This window comes from Homo sapiens, chromosome 3, assembly GCF_000001405.40.
Source record: "Homo sapiens chromosome 3, GRCh38.p14 Primary Assembly".
In the NCBI taxonomy this organism is placed as follows: domain Eukaryota; kingdom Metazoa; phylum Chordata; class Mammalia; order Primates; family Hominidae; genus Homo; species Homo sapiens.
In genome coordinates, this window is record NC_000003.12 from 21,451,161 (window position 1) to 21,469,352 (window position 18,192).

General features: G+C 36.3%; 1 protein-coding gene across 19 annotated transcripts in view; it reads right to left on the reverse strand.

Annotated features, from left to right (window-relative positions):
- The window catches only part of ZNF385D (zinc finger protein 385D), a 960,546-nt gene that overhangs the window by 38,943 nt on the left and 903,411 nt on the right, over positions 1-18,192 (reverse strand). For 3 of the 19 annotated variants that reach the window (XM_011534122.3, XM_011534124.4, XM_011534123.3), the window contains exon 6: positions 8,172-8,289. The exons of the other annotated variants lie outside the window; for them this stretch is intronic. In XM_011534122.3, coding sequence (XP_011532424.1) covers positions 8,204-8,289 — 86 coding nt within the window. In that variant the 3' untranslated portion in view covers positions 8,172-8,203. The remainder of the gene's footprint in view (positions 1-8,171; positions 8,290-18,192) is intronic. 19 annotated transcript variants of the gene reach the window in all.

Sequence of the window (18,192 nt, forward strand, 5' to 3'; positions counted from 1 at the left end):
CGAACCAATCAATACGATTTTGATGAAATTCTTCTCTATCTTTGAAGGTACTATCATCACAGATACTCTGTTTCTATTGAAGAATATATCCTGTTAAGATTTCTGAGACGCTAATAAAAAAAGTGTCACCAAAATGATGATTTATAAATTCTGATGTAAATATCACTGAAACATGCCAATGAATAAATGCCAAGTAGTCTACTGTGTATGTTGCAAGATGTATGTTACATAGCACACTTAAAATGATAGATTACGCATCACTCAAAATGAGATAAAGACTACTTCTTTAACTACTTTTATGTCTCATTATTTTTTGCTGTTTTAAAATTTCCTTCATATAGAGTGGATCTCTCAAGTTAGTCCAACAATCTAGCTTGCTAGTTTTAGAGATCCTTATTCTAAACATCATTACTGTTGTATGAATCAGCTATCAGGTACAACAATGCATTATCTCAAAGGCAAACATAAATAATTACAAAATAAAACAAATGCATGACAAAAAATTAAAAGGTTCAAGATAACAGTAGCCTCCTACATTTGTTTAGTCCTTCTTAATCTTCAAATAAATTTTGTATCCACTTCTCTGTTTTTATCCTCAGTATAGTACTACGAGAAAAACATTAAAGTTCTTATTTTATAAAGGAGAAAACTAGCTCATTGATATAAAGTCATTTGCTAGAATCATATAGCTATTAATTGGCAAAGCCATTATCAGCATCAAGATTGTTTAAGGTTTATTTTTGCCAACTGGTAGAAAATATTGTCTTTGATTGTAAAGAGCTAAGTATTAAAAATTGCATAGTGTTTATAGGACATTGCAGCAATTATATATTTTTTATTTCTGCACAAATATTGCTAAGACTATGTGTATGACTAGAAAACTATATATTCAATTTTGGACTAATTTTATAGCACTTAGAATAGAGACATATGCATTAAACAGTTTTGTGTAGCAATATCATTAGGCAATTTAAATTTAATGTACCATGTCAGATTTCTAATACCTACTTATTAAATTTACCAAGGTTTCTAGCCTTCTGTTTACAAACTAACTGTAATCATTTAAAACATAAAAAAGGCAGCAACATGCTTTCAAAGTAGAGGTTAGATCACATCACTGTTCTCCAAATACAGTTCTCTCAATTTTGCCCCATGTAAAAACTAATGTTCAACTGAAAGCTTTCCCCCTGAGATCAAGAGCAAGACAAGAATGTCCACTCTTGCTGCTGCTATTGATCATTCTACTGAAAGTTCTAGCCAGAACTATTAAGGAGGGGGAGAAAACATAAAAGGTATCCAGATTAGAGAAGCAGAAGTAAAACTACCTCTATTCATAGATGACATGATCTTGTACATAGAAAACCTTAAAATATCCACAAGAACCCCCAAAACTAATTTCTATACACTAGCAATGAACAATCTAAAGTTAAGAAAACAATTTCCCTTACAATTGCATGAAAAAGAATAAAATCTTAGGAATAAATTTAACCAATAAAGTGTAAGACTTGTATACTGAAAACTATAAAACAATGTTGGAAAAAAATAGAATACCTAAGTAAATGGAAAGGCAGCCCATGTTTGATGGTTGGAATACTTAATACTGTTAAGATGGCAATACTATCTAAATTAGTCCACATATTCAATGGAATCCCTATCAAATATTTAACTGAGTTTTTAATACAAATAACTAAGCTGACCTAAAATGTATATAAAAATAAAGGGGTACTAAATAGCCAAAATGATATTGAAAAAGAAGAATAAAGTTAGAGGATTCGAGAATAAAGTTAGAAGAATCACACTTCTTGAATTCAAAACTTACTAAAAAGTTACAGTAATAAAAACAGTGTGGCATAAGAATAGACATAGATCAATGAAATAGAATTAAGAGTCTGGAAGGAAACCCATACATTTATGGCCAATTTATTTTTAACATGAGTGACAAGACCATTCAATGGAAAAAGAATAGTCTCTTCAACAATGATGCTAGGACAAATAAGCATACACATGCAAAAAAAAAAAAAATGAAGTTGGACCCCTGCCTCACACCGCATGTCATTCAAAATGGATCAGTAACCTAAATGTAGGAGGAAAAACTATAACGCTCTTAGAAAGAACTATAGGAATAAATATTTGTGACCTTGTATTAGGCAATGGTTTCTTAAAATGGAAATAAAAGCATGAGGAACAAAATAAGTAATAGACTAAGTTGAACTGCATCAAAATTAAGTTTTTTCGTGTGTAAAAAAACACTACCAAAAAGTGAGAAAACAATCCATTAAATGGGAGAAAATATTTGTAAATTATGTATCTGATATAGGTCTAATATCCATTATATATAAAGAACACTTACAAATCCACGATATAAAGACAACTCAATCAAAAAATGGGCAAAATATTTTAATAGACATTTCTTGAAATAAGGTGTATAAATGATCCAATACACACATGAAAAGATGCTCAACATTAATCAAAACCACTGGGAAATACCATTTCACAACCACTAGGATGGCTATAATAATAAAAAACTAAATTAAAAATAAAACAACATAACTAGTGTCAGTGAGAATGCAGAGAAATTGAAATCTTTGTATGTTACTGGTGGTAATATAAAATGGTGCTGTCACTGTGGAAAAATTTAGTAGCTTCTCAAAAAGTTAAATACAAAGTTACTATATGACCCAGAGATTGTCCTAAATATATACCTAAAATAACTAAAAATATATGTATAAACATAAACTTATACATGTATACTCATAGCAGCAGTATTCATAATTGTCAAAAGGTAGTAACAACCCAAATGGAAGAGTGGATAAATAAAATGTAGTATTTCTATAAATAGAATATATATTCAATCATATAAAGAAATACAATACTGGTACCTGTTACAACATGGATGAACCTTGAAAGCACTATGCCAAATGAAAGACATCAGTCACAAAATACCACACGTTGTATGATTCCATTTATACGAAACATCCAGAATAAGAACATTCATAGAGACAAAGAGTAGATTAGTGGTTGCCAGGGAATGGGAGAAAGGAGAAAAGGGGGAATTAAGAGGTAAAGGTTTCTTTTCACAGTGCTGAAAATGTTCTGGAATTAGAAAGTTGCAATGATTGCATAACATTGTGAATATAGTAAAGGCCTGTTTGTATACTTTAAAATGGTCAAATAGTGAATTTTATATTATGTGCATTTTATATCTATAATTTTTTAAGCAAATTTCCTTGCAGTGGCCAAAGTTCCTATGTGATCTTGTCCTCTATTATCTTGCTGACTTTATCTTTTTCTACCCTTCATTTCATTACTTGTGTAACAGCCACACTGCATCACTGGCCTTTGTGCTTTCCTTCAAGCATTCCAAGCATGCTCCCACCTTAGAAACTTTGAGTTTCCTCTCAATAAATTAGGTATTGATGGGACGTATCTCAAAATAATAAGAGCTATTTATGACAAACCCACAGCCAATATCATACTGAATGGGCAAAACTGGAAACATTCCCTTTGAAAACTGGCACAAGACAGGGATGCCCTCTCTCACCACTCCTATTCAACATAGTGTTGGAAGTTCTGGCCAGGGAAGTCAGGCAGGAGAAAGAAATAAAGGGTATTCAATTATGAAAAGAGGAAGTCAAATTGTCCCTGTTTGCAGATGACATGATTGTATATCTAGAAAACCCCATTGTCTAAGCCCAAAATCGCCTTAAGCTGATAAGCAACTTCAGCAAAGTCTCAGGATACAAAATCAATGTGCAAAAATCACAAGCATTTTTATACACCAGTAACAGACAAACAGCTAAATCATGAGTGAACTCCCATTCACAATTGCTTCAAAGAGAATAAAATACCCAGGAATCCAACTTACAAGGGATGTGAAGGACCTCTTCAAGGAGAACTACAAGCCACTGCTCAATGAAATAAAAGAGGACACAAACAAATGGAAGAACATTCCACGCTCATGGATAGGAAGAATCAATATCGTGAAAATGGCCATACTGCCCAAGGTAATTTATAGATTCAATGCCATCCCCATCAAGCTACAAATGACTTTCTTCATAGAATTGGAAAAAACTATTGTAAAGTTCATATGGAACCAAAAAAGAACCCGCATCGCCAAGTCAATCCTAAGCCAAAAGAACAAAGCTGGAGGCATCATGCTACCTGACTTCAAACTATACTACAAGCCTACAGTAACCAAAACAGCATGGTACTGGTACCAAAACAGAGACATAGACCAATGGAACGGAACAGAGCCCTCAGAAATAATACCACACATCTACAACCATCTGATCTTTGACAAACCTGAGAAAAACAAGCAATGGGGAAAGGATTCCCTATTTAATAAATGGTGCTGGGAAAACTGGCTAGCCATATGTAGAAAGCTGAAACTGGATCCCTTCCTTACACCTTTTACAAAAATTAATTCAAGATGGAGTAAAGACTTACATGTTAGACCTAAAAGCATAAAAACCCTAGAAGAAAACCTAGGCAATACCATTCAGGACATAGGCATGGGGGGCAAGGACTTCCTGTCTAAAACACCAAAAGCAATGGCAACAAAAGCCAAAATTGACAAATGGGACCTAATTAAACTAAAGAGCTTCTGCACAGCAAAAGAAACTACCATCAGAGTGAACAGGCAACCTACAGAATGGGAAAAAATTTTCGCAATCTACTCATCTGACAAAGGGCTAATATCCAGAATCTACAATGAACTCAAACAAATTTACAAGAAAAAAACAACCCCATCAAAAAGTGAGCGAAGGATATGAACAGACACTTCTCAAAAGAAGACATTTATGCAGCCAAAAGACACATGAAAAAATGCTCATCATCACTGGCCATCAGAGAAATGCAAATCAAAACCACAATGAGATACCATCTCACACCAGTTAGAATGGTGTTCATTAAAAAGTCAGGAAACAACAGATGCTGGAGAGGATGTGGAGAAATAGGAACACTTTTACACTGTTGGTGGGACTGTAAACTAGTTCAACCATTGTGGAAGACAGTGTGGTGATTCCTCAAGGATCTAGAACTAGAAATACCATTTGACCCAGCCATCCCATTACTGGGTATATACCCAAAGGATTATAAATCATGCTGCTATAAAGACACACGCACATGTATGTTTATTGTGGCACTATTCACAATAGCAAAGACTTGGAACTAACCCAAACGTCCAACAATGATAGACTGGGTTAAGAAAACGTGGCACATATACACCATGGAATACTATGCAGCAATAAAAAAGGATGAGTTCATGTCCTTTGTAGGGACATGGATGAAGCTGGAAACCATCACTCTCAGCAAACTGTCACAAGGACAAAAAACCAAACACCGCATGTTCTCACTCATAGGTGGGAATTGAACAATGAGAACACTTGGACACAGGAAGGGGAACATCACACACCGGGGCCTGTTGTGGGGTGGGGGGAGTAAGGAGGGATAGCATTAGGAGATATACCTAATGTAAATGACAAGTTAATGGGTGCAGTACACCAACATGTCACATGTATACATATGTAACAAACCTGCATGTTGTGCACATGTACCCTAGAACTTAAAGTATAATAAAAAATAAATAAATAATTAAAAAAGAGAAACTTTGAGTTTCCTCTGCCATCTGTCTGGAATGCTTTTCCCCAGATAGCCAGATTACTCATCCCCTTACCATCTTCAAGACTAACACCTTCTCAGTGAGGTTGTACACCATCACTCTGGATAAAATTGCTACCTTTCTACCCATTCCTGCAATTCCCCTTTATCTCCCTTGCCTTTTTCTTCTCCATTGCAGTTATCACATTCAAACATATTATGTAATATATAACAATATAAGGGTTAGTTAACTTTGATGACCCTCTACTGGAATGTAAAATCTACAAGGGCAGGGTTTTTTAGTTGCTTTGTTCTCTATTGATCCTTAGCGTCTAGAATGGTTACCAAAACATAATAGATTCCCAATAAATATTTCTTGAATGAGAGAATGAAACAACCCAGAAAATAAAGTGATGCTTGGGAAGAAAGAATAAACAGTAGGAGGAGGTGGCAGAAAAATAAACCCAGTACTAGCGTGTGATGGCATTTGTATGGAAAGAATTTTTCATCTCTTTAAAATTATTGCATCATTTCATTCAAGTGTGATATAACTAGGTGATTTAAGGAGAGTGGTTATTTGTTGTTGTCGTTGTTGTTGTTGTTGTTGTTGTTGTTGAGAATGAGTCTCGTTCTGTCACCTAGGCTGGAGTGCAATGGCATGATCTCAGCTCACTGCAATCTCCACCTCCCGGGTTCAGGTGATTCTTCTGCCTCAGCCTCCTGAGTAGCTGGGACTACAGGGGCATGCCACCATGCCTAGCTAATTTTTACATTTTTAGTAGAGACAGGGTTTCACCATATTGGCCAGGCTGGTCTCAAACTCCTGAACTCGTGATCCACCTGCCTTGGTCTCCCAAAGTGCTGGGATTACAGGCTTAAGCCACCATGCCGGGCTGGTTATAATTCTTTCAATGACGAATTTATTACATGATTTCCAACAGCCTTCCAGCTCTAAACTAACATGATGCTCTGAAAAACAGGATGTTTATTTAAAACCTCAGCTGTAAGATCCACAGAGTTTCTAAAGATGTGATTAATAAGTTAATTTAAGAATTACACACAAGTAATTCTGCACTAGCCCTTGTGTTTCCAAAGGCCAACAGCTAAATTAGCTAAGATAATTGTGGAAAATTATTTTCTACATTTGGAAAGCTGTGCCAGGAATTATATCAAGGCATTATTGTCAAGCCCTTGTTTTATCATTATTATTCTGCTAGGTCAGAAAGACAGGGGTGATACAGTCCTCAAAAAAAGTTCCTGAGATGCTTAAGAGAATCAACAACAACAAAACATTCAGCAGCTGAAAAAAATATTGAGATTAAAACTAGCAATGCAGGGCAAAAAGACTGTAGAAGAATTTAAACTCCCAGGCATCAAGTAACTATATAAAACCTAGGAAATGTAACTCAAGGTTAAGAAACAGATGAAGAGGGGCTGGGCTCGGTTGCTCATACCTGTAATCCTAGCACTTTAGGAGGCCAAGGCAAGAGAATCACTTGAGCCCAAGAGTTCGAGACCAGCCTGAGCAACATAGTGAGACCTCATCACTCTTAAAGGAAAAAAAAAAAAAGCAAATTATCCAGGTATATGGCATGAACCAGTAGTCCTAGCTACTTGGGAGGCTGAGGTAGGAGGATCGCTTGAGCCCAGGATGTTGACACTGCAGTAAGCCAAGATCACACCACTGCACTCCAGCCTGGGTGACAGAGAAAGACCATGTCTCAAGGAGAAAGGGAAGGGAGAGAAAGACCATGTCTCTAGAAGAAAGGGAAGGGGAGGGGAGGGCTAAATCTCTACCAATGATGAAAGGATAAATAAAATGTGGTATATCCTTATAATGGAATATTATTCTGGACTAAAAAGGGACAAAGCCATGGCAAAAACTGTGTCATGAATGAACCATGAAAACATTATGCTAAATAAAAGAAATCGGCCACAAAATACCAGGTATTCTGTGATTCTATTTATAGGAAATATCCAGCATAGGCAAATTTGGAGAGACACAAAGTAGATTAGTGGTAGTGAGGGGAGAGGGAGTCCATGGATAATGCGGGGTGGGGGGGCGGGACTGATGATGAGTATGTGGTTTCTTTAGGGGGTTCTAAACTTGATAGTGGTGATGTACAAAGTTCTGAATATACTAAAACCAGTTAATTGTACACTTTAAATGGGTGAATTCTATGGTATGTGAATTATATCTCAATGAAGCTGTTATTTTAAAAAGTAATACGTTGTGAAAATTCCTCTTACATTCTAGTTCCTTTGTTTCTTGTTTACTATGAGGGAGCACAACTATCACCTGGGAGGGTAAGAGGGGAGCACAGGTTCTATGAAATGTTAACTCATATGTTGATACAGGGTAGATTTCAGAAGTCTCAAGACAGGAGACAGCTGCTGTGCTATTTAAGTGCTTTTGGGCTATCCTGTTGAGAGTGTGAGCCTTTGACTCAAGGTGCAACACAAAAGTCATGGTAGAAGTTTGGTGATTCCTTCTCTTTAGGCTTATAACACCTTGTCTATATTGCTATTTTGGTACTAATTATGTTACTATAATTATTTTTTAAATTACTAACCTTTTTCCCAGATGGTGAATCTCAAAAGGGCACTATCTGGAATATGGTAAGCTCCTCAATAAAGTACTTATTATGTGGCTGGCTGGATGAATAATTGAATCTAGTGTTGTATTTATCTCTGTTTCAAGGAAAGAGGAGAAGAGCAGAATGAAATATTATACTACCATATAAATGCAAAAAAAAATTTAAATAATATAAATGGTATAGGCAATCACAAATTAAATGGTGTGGACAATATTGTGAAATCAGCACAAGATGGCCAGTCAGGACATGCTCTACCCTCAATCAGTTCTCAATCCCTATCAAGAAAGTATTCCACCATGCCGAGGACATTTTAGTTTTAAACAACATGGCCCATAAACACACAACTATCTTATCTTGTACTTGCCAAATGTATCATAAACTATTATGTTGCTTGATGAAAAATGGACAAATTGGGCATTCAAGAGAGATGGAATATTTGCTTCAAATTGCCATCTAAGATATGTTCAAGGATAACTAAGACAATATTCAATTTTTATCTTGTGTGAAGACTTTAGAACCCAGCCCTCTACTCTCCAAGTCTGGGAATATGAAATTCTGTTCCACGTCCCAGACTGATCACTTACAACCTCCCATGTTGTCGCTTTATGACCTAGAGTGCCACAACCATCAGCCCATGTCACTAATATTATTGGCTGCTGCTAAATCACCTGTCAAATTTTCTGAGTTCTCAGTCAATTTACTCTGAATGTTAAGCTTGCTCTTTAGTGTCCATGTTTCTTTTGATTCTGTTTACATAAGAATTCTCCAAAGACTCAGGCTTGACCTCAGTTTCATGCTTAGATGCTCTTCCAGTAACACCATCTTTTTTTTCTTCTCAGTGCCAGAAAAAATAAAATTCAAGTATTGTTTAGTGTCATATGCCCTGGCCTGCATGAATGACTAACGTAAATTTGAAGAAGACTGCTTTTGGTTTTTGTGTCTGCTTAAAATTCAGATTCCCTAATCTAACTCTTTGTGTGTTTAACTATTTCATAGACACCAGATCGTGTCAAAAATAATATAAAGACCCATAAAACAGTGGGTGGATAATGAATATTTGTCATTTAACTTTGATTATGCTAAACTATATTCAGTATGAACCTTTCACAACATGTATGCAAGCTGTGTACATCAATAGGAACAAAATAAATAAAGCAACCAATTTTAAAAAATTATTATATTGCATTCAGCTTGGAAATGAAATCTTTCTATATAATCTCATGATAAAGCTACAATGAATGGGTTCTCTAATGAACACTCAAGTGTTTGTGTATGGTCTTTTTGTTGTACATGTGTAAAAAATATTTTATATCATTTTCTATTCACTACAATTTTTTTTAAGGAAAGGAGATACAATGAAGTTACTTATTACAACATTCATAACCTCCAAAATTAATGGTTTTCTAATTTCATTTGGGGTCATAATGTAGAACTTTCTACAGAAAAATAGCAATTAATTAGGGCCACTGAAATTGTGAACTAGTCCCTGGAAGACTCAAGTCTCAGCTTTCTCTCTGTCATGAGAAAAATATTAAGTTGTTTACCTTAATAATCTCTAGGATTTGTTTAGCACTGTACAGTGTGCTAAATGTTTTTCTACCCATTAATTTTTCACAAAATTCTTTACAATCAGAGCGGAATCTATTTTTGACTCTTTTTAAAATGTGGAAACAAAAATTGAGAGACTTGAATTAATTCACATAAAGTCACATGCTCTGCATTGCAGTGCCAAGACCACAATATATATTTCCCATCACATATGATATTTTAGGGAATTGAGGTGAGAAAGGAATGCAAAATGAAAGAAAACTCTCTGCCTTTCATCTTCAAAATCATTTTGAAGTTTGATTTTTGTTCTTGTTAGTCTTCACATTTAGAATATTTGAATTTTTTATATTTAAAACTCCTCTTTGAGGCCTGGCACAGTGGCTATGCTTGTAATCTCAGCACTTTGGGAGGCTGAGGTGGGAGGATCATGAGGTTAGGAGTTTGAGACCACCTAGCCAACACAGTGAAACCCTGTCTCTACTAAAAATATGAAAATTAGCTGGGCGTCGTGGTGGGTGCCTGTATTCCCAGCTACTTGGGAGGCTGAGGCAGGAGAATCGTTTGAACCCAGGAGGCAGAGGTTGCAGTGAGCCGAGCTCGTGCCACTGCACTCCAGCCTGGGCAATGGAGCTAGACTCTATCTCAAAAACAAACAAACAAACAAACAAACAAATCTCCTCTTTGAAATTGTTTTAATTTCAAAGCAGACTATTTAAGACAGCAATCCTAGTAAAGACGTTTTAAATTCAAATTATTCATGTTGGGCCAAATGTTAAATAGTAACTTAATTGCCTTCAAATTTGCGCAGCAACTAATTAGGTCTCTAGCCATTTGAAATCATACACTATCAACTTGTAGCTGTACATTTCAAATGCTCATGGAGAGGATATGGATGGTCTCTTGACAATTTGCTTATTGGATGGCTACAAATGTCCAGCAAAGCAGTTTGCTGCTGAAACTTGGACAAAGACATATCTGTGGCCTTATTAATATTATTTTTAACCTCTGAGCACTTAAGTATCTGACTTAGAGCCTTCCTGTGACTTTCTAGTTCTTAGAGTGATAGTTAAAAGTATATAGCTAATATATAATAGTTGCCTAATAAAAATTTTATATGTGACTTAATTCTTTTGGTCACTTATAATATTTTCATCGCTGAAGTTTGACAGTTTGGCACATCATCATCATGTTCAGTAGCAAAACATACACAAATAATCCCTTAGACTAGAAACTCCACATGGCTTGCTGGTTAGAGATGTTGTATGCAAAACTAAACACTACCTTTTCTAATTTTAATCTCTTTTCTATTTTTTTTCCCTAGAGATATGTCATATAGAATTCCCTAGTGTTTAGAATTTCTCAGGCTATATTTTTGTGAGCCAGAATTTTGTCTCCAGAATTTAGGAACTTAATAAGTATGCAGTGAGTAAGCAGACATTCATCATAGAACCAACTGAAAGAGAGAAAGGGATTCACTTCAGAGCAGATCCTGGCATAAATGATGTTACTTGCAATTAAGTAAGCCAAGAGAAGAAATATAACTTAGAAATAGCTAAATAGGTAGGCAGGTAGGTAAATACCTTGATACCATTTTAAGGGTAAAAGTTGACATTAAAATATGTTGAGAATAATGGTAGAAGTAATAGCAACTTTAAGGAGGCTACAGATAAAAACATAAAGCAGGTTAAAAGACAAATTAAATCAAAATAAAATTTAAAAGCTACAGAGTTCAAGTTATACAAGGCAACAGTAAAATACATTACACAAGTAAGCAAAAAAGCTGAAGAGGCAACATTGGCCAGGCACGGTGGCTTACGCCTGTAATCCTAACACTTTGGGAGGCCGAGGAGGGTAGATCACCTGAGGTCAGGAGTTCGAGACCAGCCTGGCCAACATGGTGAAACCCCGTCTCTACTAAATATATAAAAATTAGCTGGGCATGGTGGCTCACACCTGTAATCCCAGCTACTCAGGAAGTTGAGGCAGCAGAATCACTCGAACCAGGGAGACAGAGGTTGTGGTGAGCTGAGATCGCACCACTGCACTCCAGCCTAGGCAACAAGAGTGAAAACTCTATCTCAAAAACAAACAAACAAACAAACAAACAAAAAACCTAAAGAGGCAATACCAAAAAAAATAAAAACTTTAAAATACTGTTTCACAAAAGAAATACAGACTTAAAATATTTTTTAAAGTAGGTTAAGGTAAAATGATATTAAGAGTATTACAAATCATTTTATTAGATGTAGTAATTTAAAAGTTGTAAACATACAAAATTCCCAAAATAGACTAAGAGTAAAAATAAAAGTAGAGCAAAAAAAATTCAATAGCATGAAACAGATACTACATTCAATATGATGTGGCTTTTATAAAAAAAAATACGTTGAATATATTTTTACAGGGACACTAGAAGGAAGTCTATGGGATTGACACTGTGATTTGTTTCTGCATTAAAATACTTTTACAATATATTGCTTTCACAATTAGAAAAACTACTAATTACTTAAACTAATGAAGAGATAGAGAGCATGCACAGTGGCACAGCGAAGCAGTCACAGAGCTCAGCGGTTGAGCCCCAGGTGGAGGCACACACCTGGGACCCTGAGCAGCCTGAGGGCTTCCTCAGAGCCAAGTGTCAGGGTGGAGTGAGGAGCTGTGAAGCCCCTTCACATCTGGCCTTGAAGACAGGGCCCTCTAGAATGGCTGGCTCGCTTTCTCTCACCCAAGGCTCCAAGGGGCTAGTCTTGTCCGCTGATGCCTACAGATATGAAAAGATACACTCTTTCCAGGTGATTACATTCCAGCCCAAATATCTGGAAATCAGGAGAAACCTCTTCTGATCTGCAGCCCCTCAGTTTTCAATGACAGAGTTTACTAACCAAAATCCAAAATTATGGATAGAGCTGAATGTTTACAGTTCTAGAGTTACATTTTTCTTCCCAGATGGTTAGTACAATATAGTGTACTCTTAGGAGAGCTGCTTAGCCTCAGTTTTTTTTTTTCATATGCAACAGGAATAAGAATCTCTGTCCCATATTTTCTTATTTATAGGAGGCTGTATCACACATATACATGAAACACATGAAACAAAGCAATTAATGAAGTTCACTCAGCTGAGGTAAATGCTGCATACAATTCTTGGCTTAACCAAAGGAAGCAAAGATTACAATAAGCCTTAAACTCATTTAAATCTCTCCCCAGAACAAATATTTTACTGATTACAATATTCTCAAGGTTTTTGATAAAGCAGTTTTTCAATAATGTAAAGTAGGCTTTTGAGAAAGTAATTGCAGATTTCATCATAATTTTATAATCGCTGACTGGAGGTTTAATGTAAAGTAATACATAATACACATAGAATTTTGTTAAATATGTAATGTTATATTCTCAAATGGAAAACAAAAGCCTTCTATTAAGTGGTCATCTCAGAATGGTTCTAAATTGAAATAAATAAATCTTACTGCTAATATATGCATTTTTATATTAAAAAACAAAAATTAAAAATATATTTCTCTGCTTTCTCAATCTTTTGTCTGTCTTCCTTTTTTTCCTCTCATAAGTGCATTCATACACATACATATACACACAGAGAACCTCAGACACTCAAGTATCTTTGCTTTCTTCTCTCTGGAACATTATATTAGCTTCAGATACAACAGTCAACTCTTCCTTAAATAGATTACGCTCTAGAATTGCAGTTTTTAAACCACAGCTGTTAGAAGCTGCAGTTCAACATTAATATGTTTATGCCATATTTTCAAGACACAGTCTCCAAAATCGCTTCATATGAAAAAACATATACATACTCAATTATTTACAGCTGCCAAAAAATAAATTAAAACACACACACACACACTTATGCAACTCATGAACACCATCCCTGCAATAATTTCTGGATAAGAGAAAAACAATCCCAGAAGATGCGTAGCCTATTAAATATTTGTAGAAATATAACTCATTTGAAAATGAGATATTACCCTTGCTTACCACACATTACACGGCCTACTCTCTGCCTTCTCAGTGGGGGTGCAGACAGAGGAATCCAAGCAAGTTTATGAGACCATCATGTGACCCCACTGCCGGCCAAGGACTCTGCTACAAAATAAGAAGCTATAAATTTCTTTCTCATTAAATACTTTGTCATTTTTACAGAAAGATTTCATATCCAGGTACTTTACATCTTGTTTTCAACAGATTTCCAAAGCTGTCTCTGTCTATATGGAGCATTTTTGTTAAATATTTCTTTGCACGTAAGTTTTCACTGTGCCCTTGAACACAGTGAAAATTTACATATTTTCACTTTTATTTTCACATAGGGAACTACACTTATCTCCAGAGTCTTCCCAATTTCTTTTGCTAAAAGACTATTTGTATTTATCCAGTTAGGTGTCTAATGCAAAACACACTAATTTTTAAAGGTTGTTCTCATCACTGAATATTTTGGTCTAACAAAGCCATATATAATCCCAATTAATTTGAAATACTTTCTCTTTTCAAGATCAGTTGGAAGAGAAAGTTTCTTCTGCTCTTCCCAAGAGGGCCACAGCCTCTCATCACCTGGCCAGAGTAGGTAACATGAGACAAACCATTTTAAAGTCTAGGAAAATCCCTAAAAGAATGAATCAGTCAGGAGCGATACATGTTGATTATCACAGGGCATAAGCCTGAATTTTCAAATACATCCTTCCAGAATGTATTCGAGTTATGCATATTTCCTGGCACTCTTGTCTCACATCTGTGTAAGTCTCCGTGTATCTTATTTTCTTTCCTGGCTCTGCTTCTTCCTTTCCTGTGAAAATTCACCTGTGTGAATTTACAACATTTCTATAATTTGTTTCTTTATCACCCATTTTATGTTTGTAATTAATCATGCAGTAGACGTAAGCCAGGTGCTAGGTGTTAGGATTTGGCAAATAGTCAGATGCCCTTCCTGCAGGCTGACCCACTCTCAGGCTACACAACACTCATTCTCCATCACACCTCAGGATACAGGAGCTGCCGTGAGCACAAATAGAGATGCTCTTCTGCTGCATAAATGTGCTAGGCATCTCCACTAGGGTTTGCAAAAATCTTAGAAAAGTGGGTCTCCATCTTCATTTCTAATAGCAGAGTGGTCTACGACCCTACCACCTGGAATGCACCCGATTTTGTCTAATACTGAATTGTACTAGTATTTCTCACCTGGATAACTGCAATAGCCCTGCAAATAATGTCTTCACATCTTCCATTATACCACCCCATGCATCCTAATAGGCAAATGCATGATCAATCTTTACCTTATAATATGTTCATTTTCTCAACATTTTGTAGAACAAAATCTGATGACCTTAATATGGTTTATAAGGTCCTTAAGGGTTTGGTTCCTGCTTAATGTTCTAGACTCATCTTTCACTTTGCCTACTCCTTCATACATCCACTTTGCTCTAGTCATATTGAAGTTTATTCTTTTCCTTGAAAAGAATAACAAACTTCAAATGTTATGTTACTTTGCCTTTAGCATGGTTCATTCTTCCTCCTCATTTGGCTAATGTGTACTTACCTCTTACCTAAGAAAGTTCTTTTTCTATGAAGCCTTCAAGGATACCCTACAATGGGCTAGAAACCCCTCCTGCATACTATTACTAAAGCATATATCCCTCTGACCACACAACATCATGACATTCAACACCTGTATCTCAATTTCCTGCCTACTGGTTGCATTCCTCACTAGCCTGAAAGAAATGGTAATGTAGTCATCTTGTTCTTATTTATGTCTAGTGAGTCCTGCTCATGGCATTCATAAGTCACACAAAAAATTTGTTAAAAAAAATGAAAAGCTAGTTTTATTTCCTCTGATGCCATGATCTCACCCCACTACACGCTCTTCTCCTCCCTGCCTGAGGTATCCATGAGCTATTGGCTTTGATAGGTAACTAAAGAAAAATTCAGAGGACTGTGAACTTAGGAGAGTATCTATTACTGCCCCACCATTTGATAAATGAGAATATACTGGCCCAAAACAATGAGATAACCAGCCCAAGGACTTTGAGCTGGAGAGAAGAAAGTTCTGGACCTGAACCCAAATTTTCTAAATCCTTAGTCTATGCTCCTGCCACTATACCAAGCTTCTTACCAATGATCAGGATTTCTCAACTCCCTGAACTCGGTTCTTGTGCTGAATACTGATGGAGTAGGTAGTTTATTTCATTAATGCCCCCCATCAATGTGCTTATGGAATAACATGTCAAAGTAAAATTAAGAAGGAAACTTAAGTCAGTAATATCTTCTGTCAAAACCTGAACACATTAATTACATTTACTTTCCTATTGCTTGAACCTGACTTACTTTCCTATTCCATAAACTTTTTCAAAATGTAAAAACCAAGACCATTTTGTTTTTGTTGTTGCTGACATTGTAGTTATTAGGAGTTTAGAAAATATTTTAGATACGGGGCTTCTTTGCCAAAACATTATTCTGATTCTAAGTGCCCGTAAGTTGGAAGACAAAGTAAGACTGTTTCTCTAAGACATTATTACTGATGCATGCAGATTTTATAGTTTTTGGGGGGAACAAAATTATTTACAAAAAATAGTTTAAGGCATTTTTGTAAATCTTAAACATCTCTAATTTAGTCTAACCTGCGAATAGCAGAAAGGGGGCAAGCTGGCAAACATGCTGACTTGAATTCACTTCCACTACTAGAGCTTTGTCCTGGCCTTAGATGCCTGGTGTCAATGGCATCTTTTTGTGGTATTTCCCTGGTAACTCAATATCCTGATTCTGTCCCATCAAACCCATGCTTCCCCTCAGTGACCATGTGCGGTTCATTTGGGTGCCATATCTTTCAGGACCCAGAAATTCTATTCCTAACACCATGCGTTCTAGTTAAAAGCACCTTCAAAATGCTGGTTCTGGTATTTGCATGTGGTATGAATGTGAACAAGGTAATACTTCTAAATTACAGTTTCTGCATTATATGGAATGAGGGTATTGACCACAATAAGAAACCATGTAACACACACTAGGGAGGCTAAAATATAAAAGAATGATAGTTCCATTTGTTGGCAAAAATAGGTACAAATAAGACTTGTCTACGGGAATGCAAAATGGTAAAATATCTTTGAAAAAAAGATTGGCAGTGTTTTATGAAGTGAAATATACTCCTAAACTAGAACATAGTAATTCCATTTCTAGGTATTTACCAAAAAATAAAAAATGTGTCCATAAAAGTAGTATATGGAGCCAGGTGTGGTGGCTCATGCCTGTAATCCCAACACTCTGGGAGGCTGAGGCGGGCGGATCACAAGGTCAGAAGTTTGAGATGAGCCTGGCCAACATGGTGAAACCCATCTCTACTAAAAATACAAAAATTAGCCAACTGTGGTGGCGGGCACCTGTAGTCCCAGCTACTCGGGAGGCTGAGGCAGGAGAATCACTTGAACCTGGGAGGCAGAGGTTGCACTGAGCCAAGATCATACCACTGCACTCCAGCCTGGGCAACAGAGCAAGACACTGTCTCAAAAAAAAAAAAAAAAAAAAAAAGTATATGCAGACATTCAGAGTATAATTATACATAAAAGCACCTCTGGAAAGCAACCCAAATATGCATCACCATGTAAATGGGTAAATTGTGGTATATTCATAAAAGGGAATACTACTCAGCAATAAAAAGAAAAATGAACAGACACATAAACAACATGTATGAACCTCAAAACCCTATGTTGAGCAAGAGATACTGGTCACAAAAGAATACGTAGTATGGGCAGGGGGCGGTGGCTCACGCCTGTAATCCCAGCACTTTGGGAGTCCGAGGCAGGCGGATCACGAGGTCAGGAGATTGAGACCATCCTGGCCAACATGGTGAAACTCCGTTTCTACTTAAATACAAAAAATTAGCCGGGCGTAGTGGTGCGCCCATAGTCTGTAGTCCCAGCTACTCGGGAGACTGAGGCAGGGTAATCGCTTGAACTTGGGAGACAGAGATTGCAGTGAACCGAGATCGTGCCACTGCACTCCAGTCTGGCAACAGAGTAAGACTCTGTCTAAAAAAAAAAGAATACATAGTATGATTCCATTTATATTACATTCTAGAAAAGGAAAAACAAAGGTACTGTGACAAAGCAGATTAGTGATTGCCTCTGTGTGGGGATGGATTGACTGGACTGTGCATGAGTAAAATTTCTAGGGTGATGGAAAGTTTCTATATCTTGACTAAGGTGATGGTTACACTGGTGAGCAGATTTGTCTACTCATTGAACTATTCATTTGAAATCTGCATTTTATGTATGTAAATTATGCCTCAACAAAACAGTAAAGCAATTAAAACTTCCTCACTCATAATGATTCGCATGCTGTAAATGGAACATGAGAGGAGGCCACAGACTTTTGTGCCAGGAAGTTGAAAAATAATCATGGTCACATTGTGATTTCACCAAGGTAAATGTCACTCTGAGTCCTCTCACAACCTGCA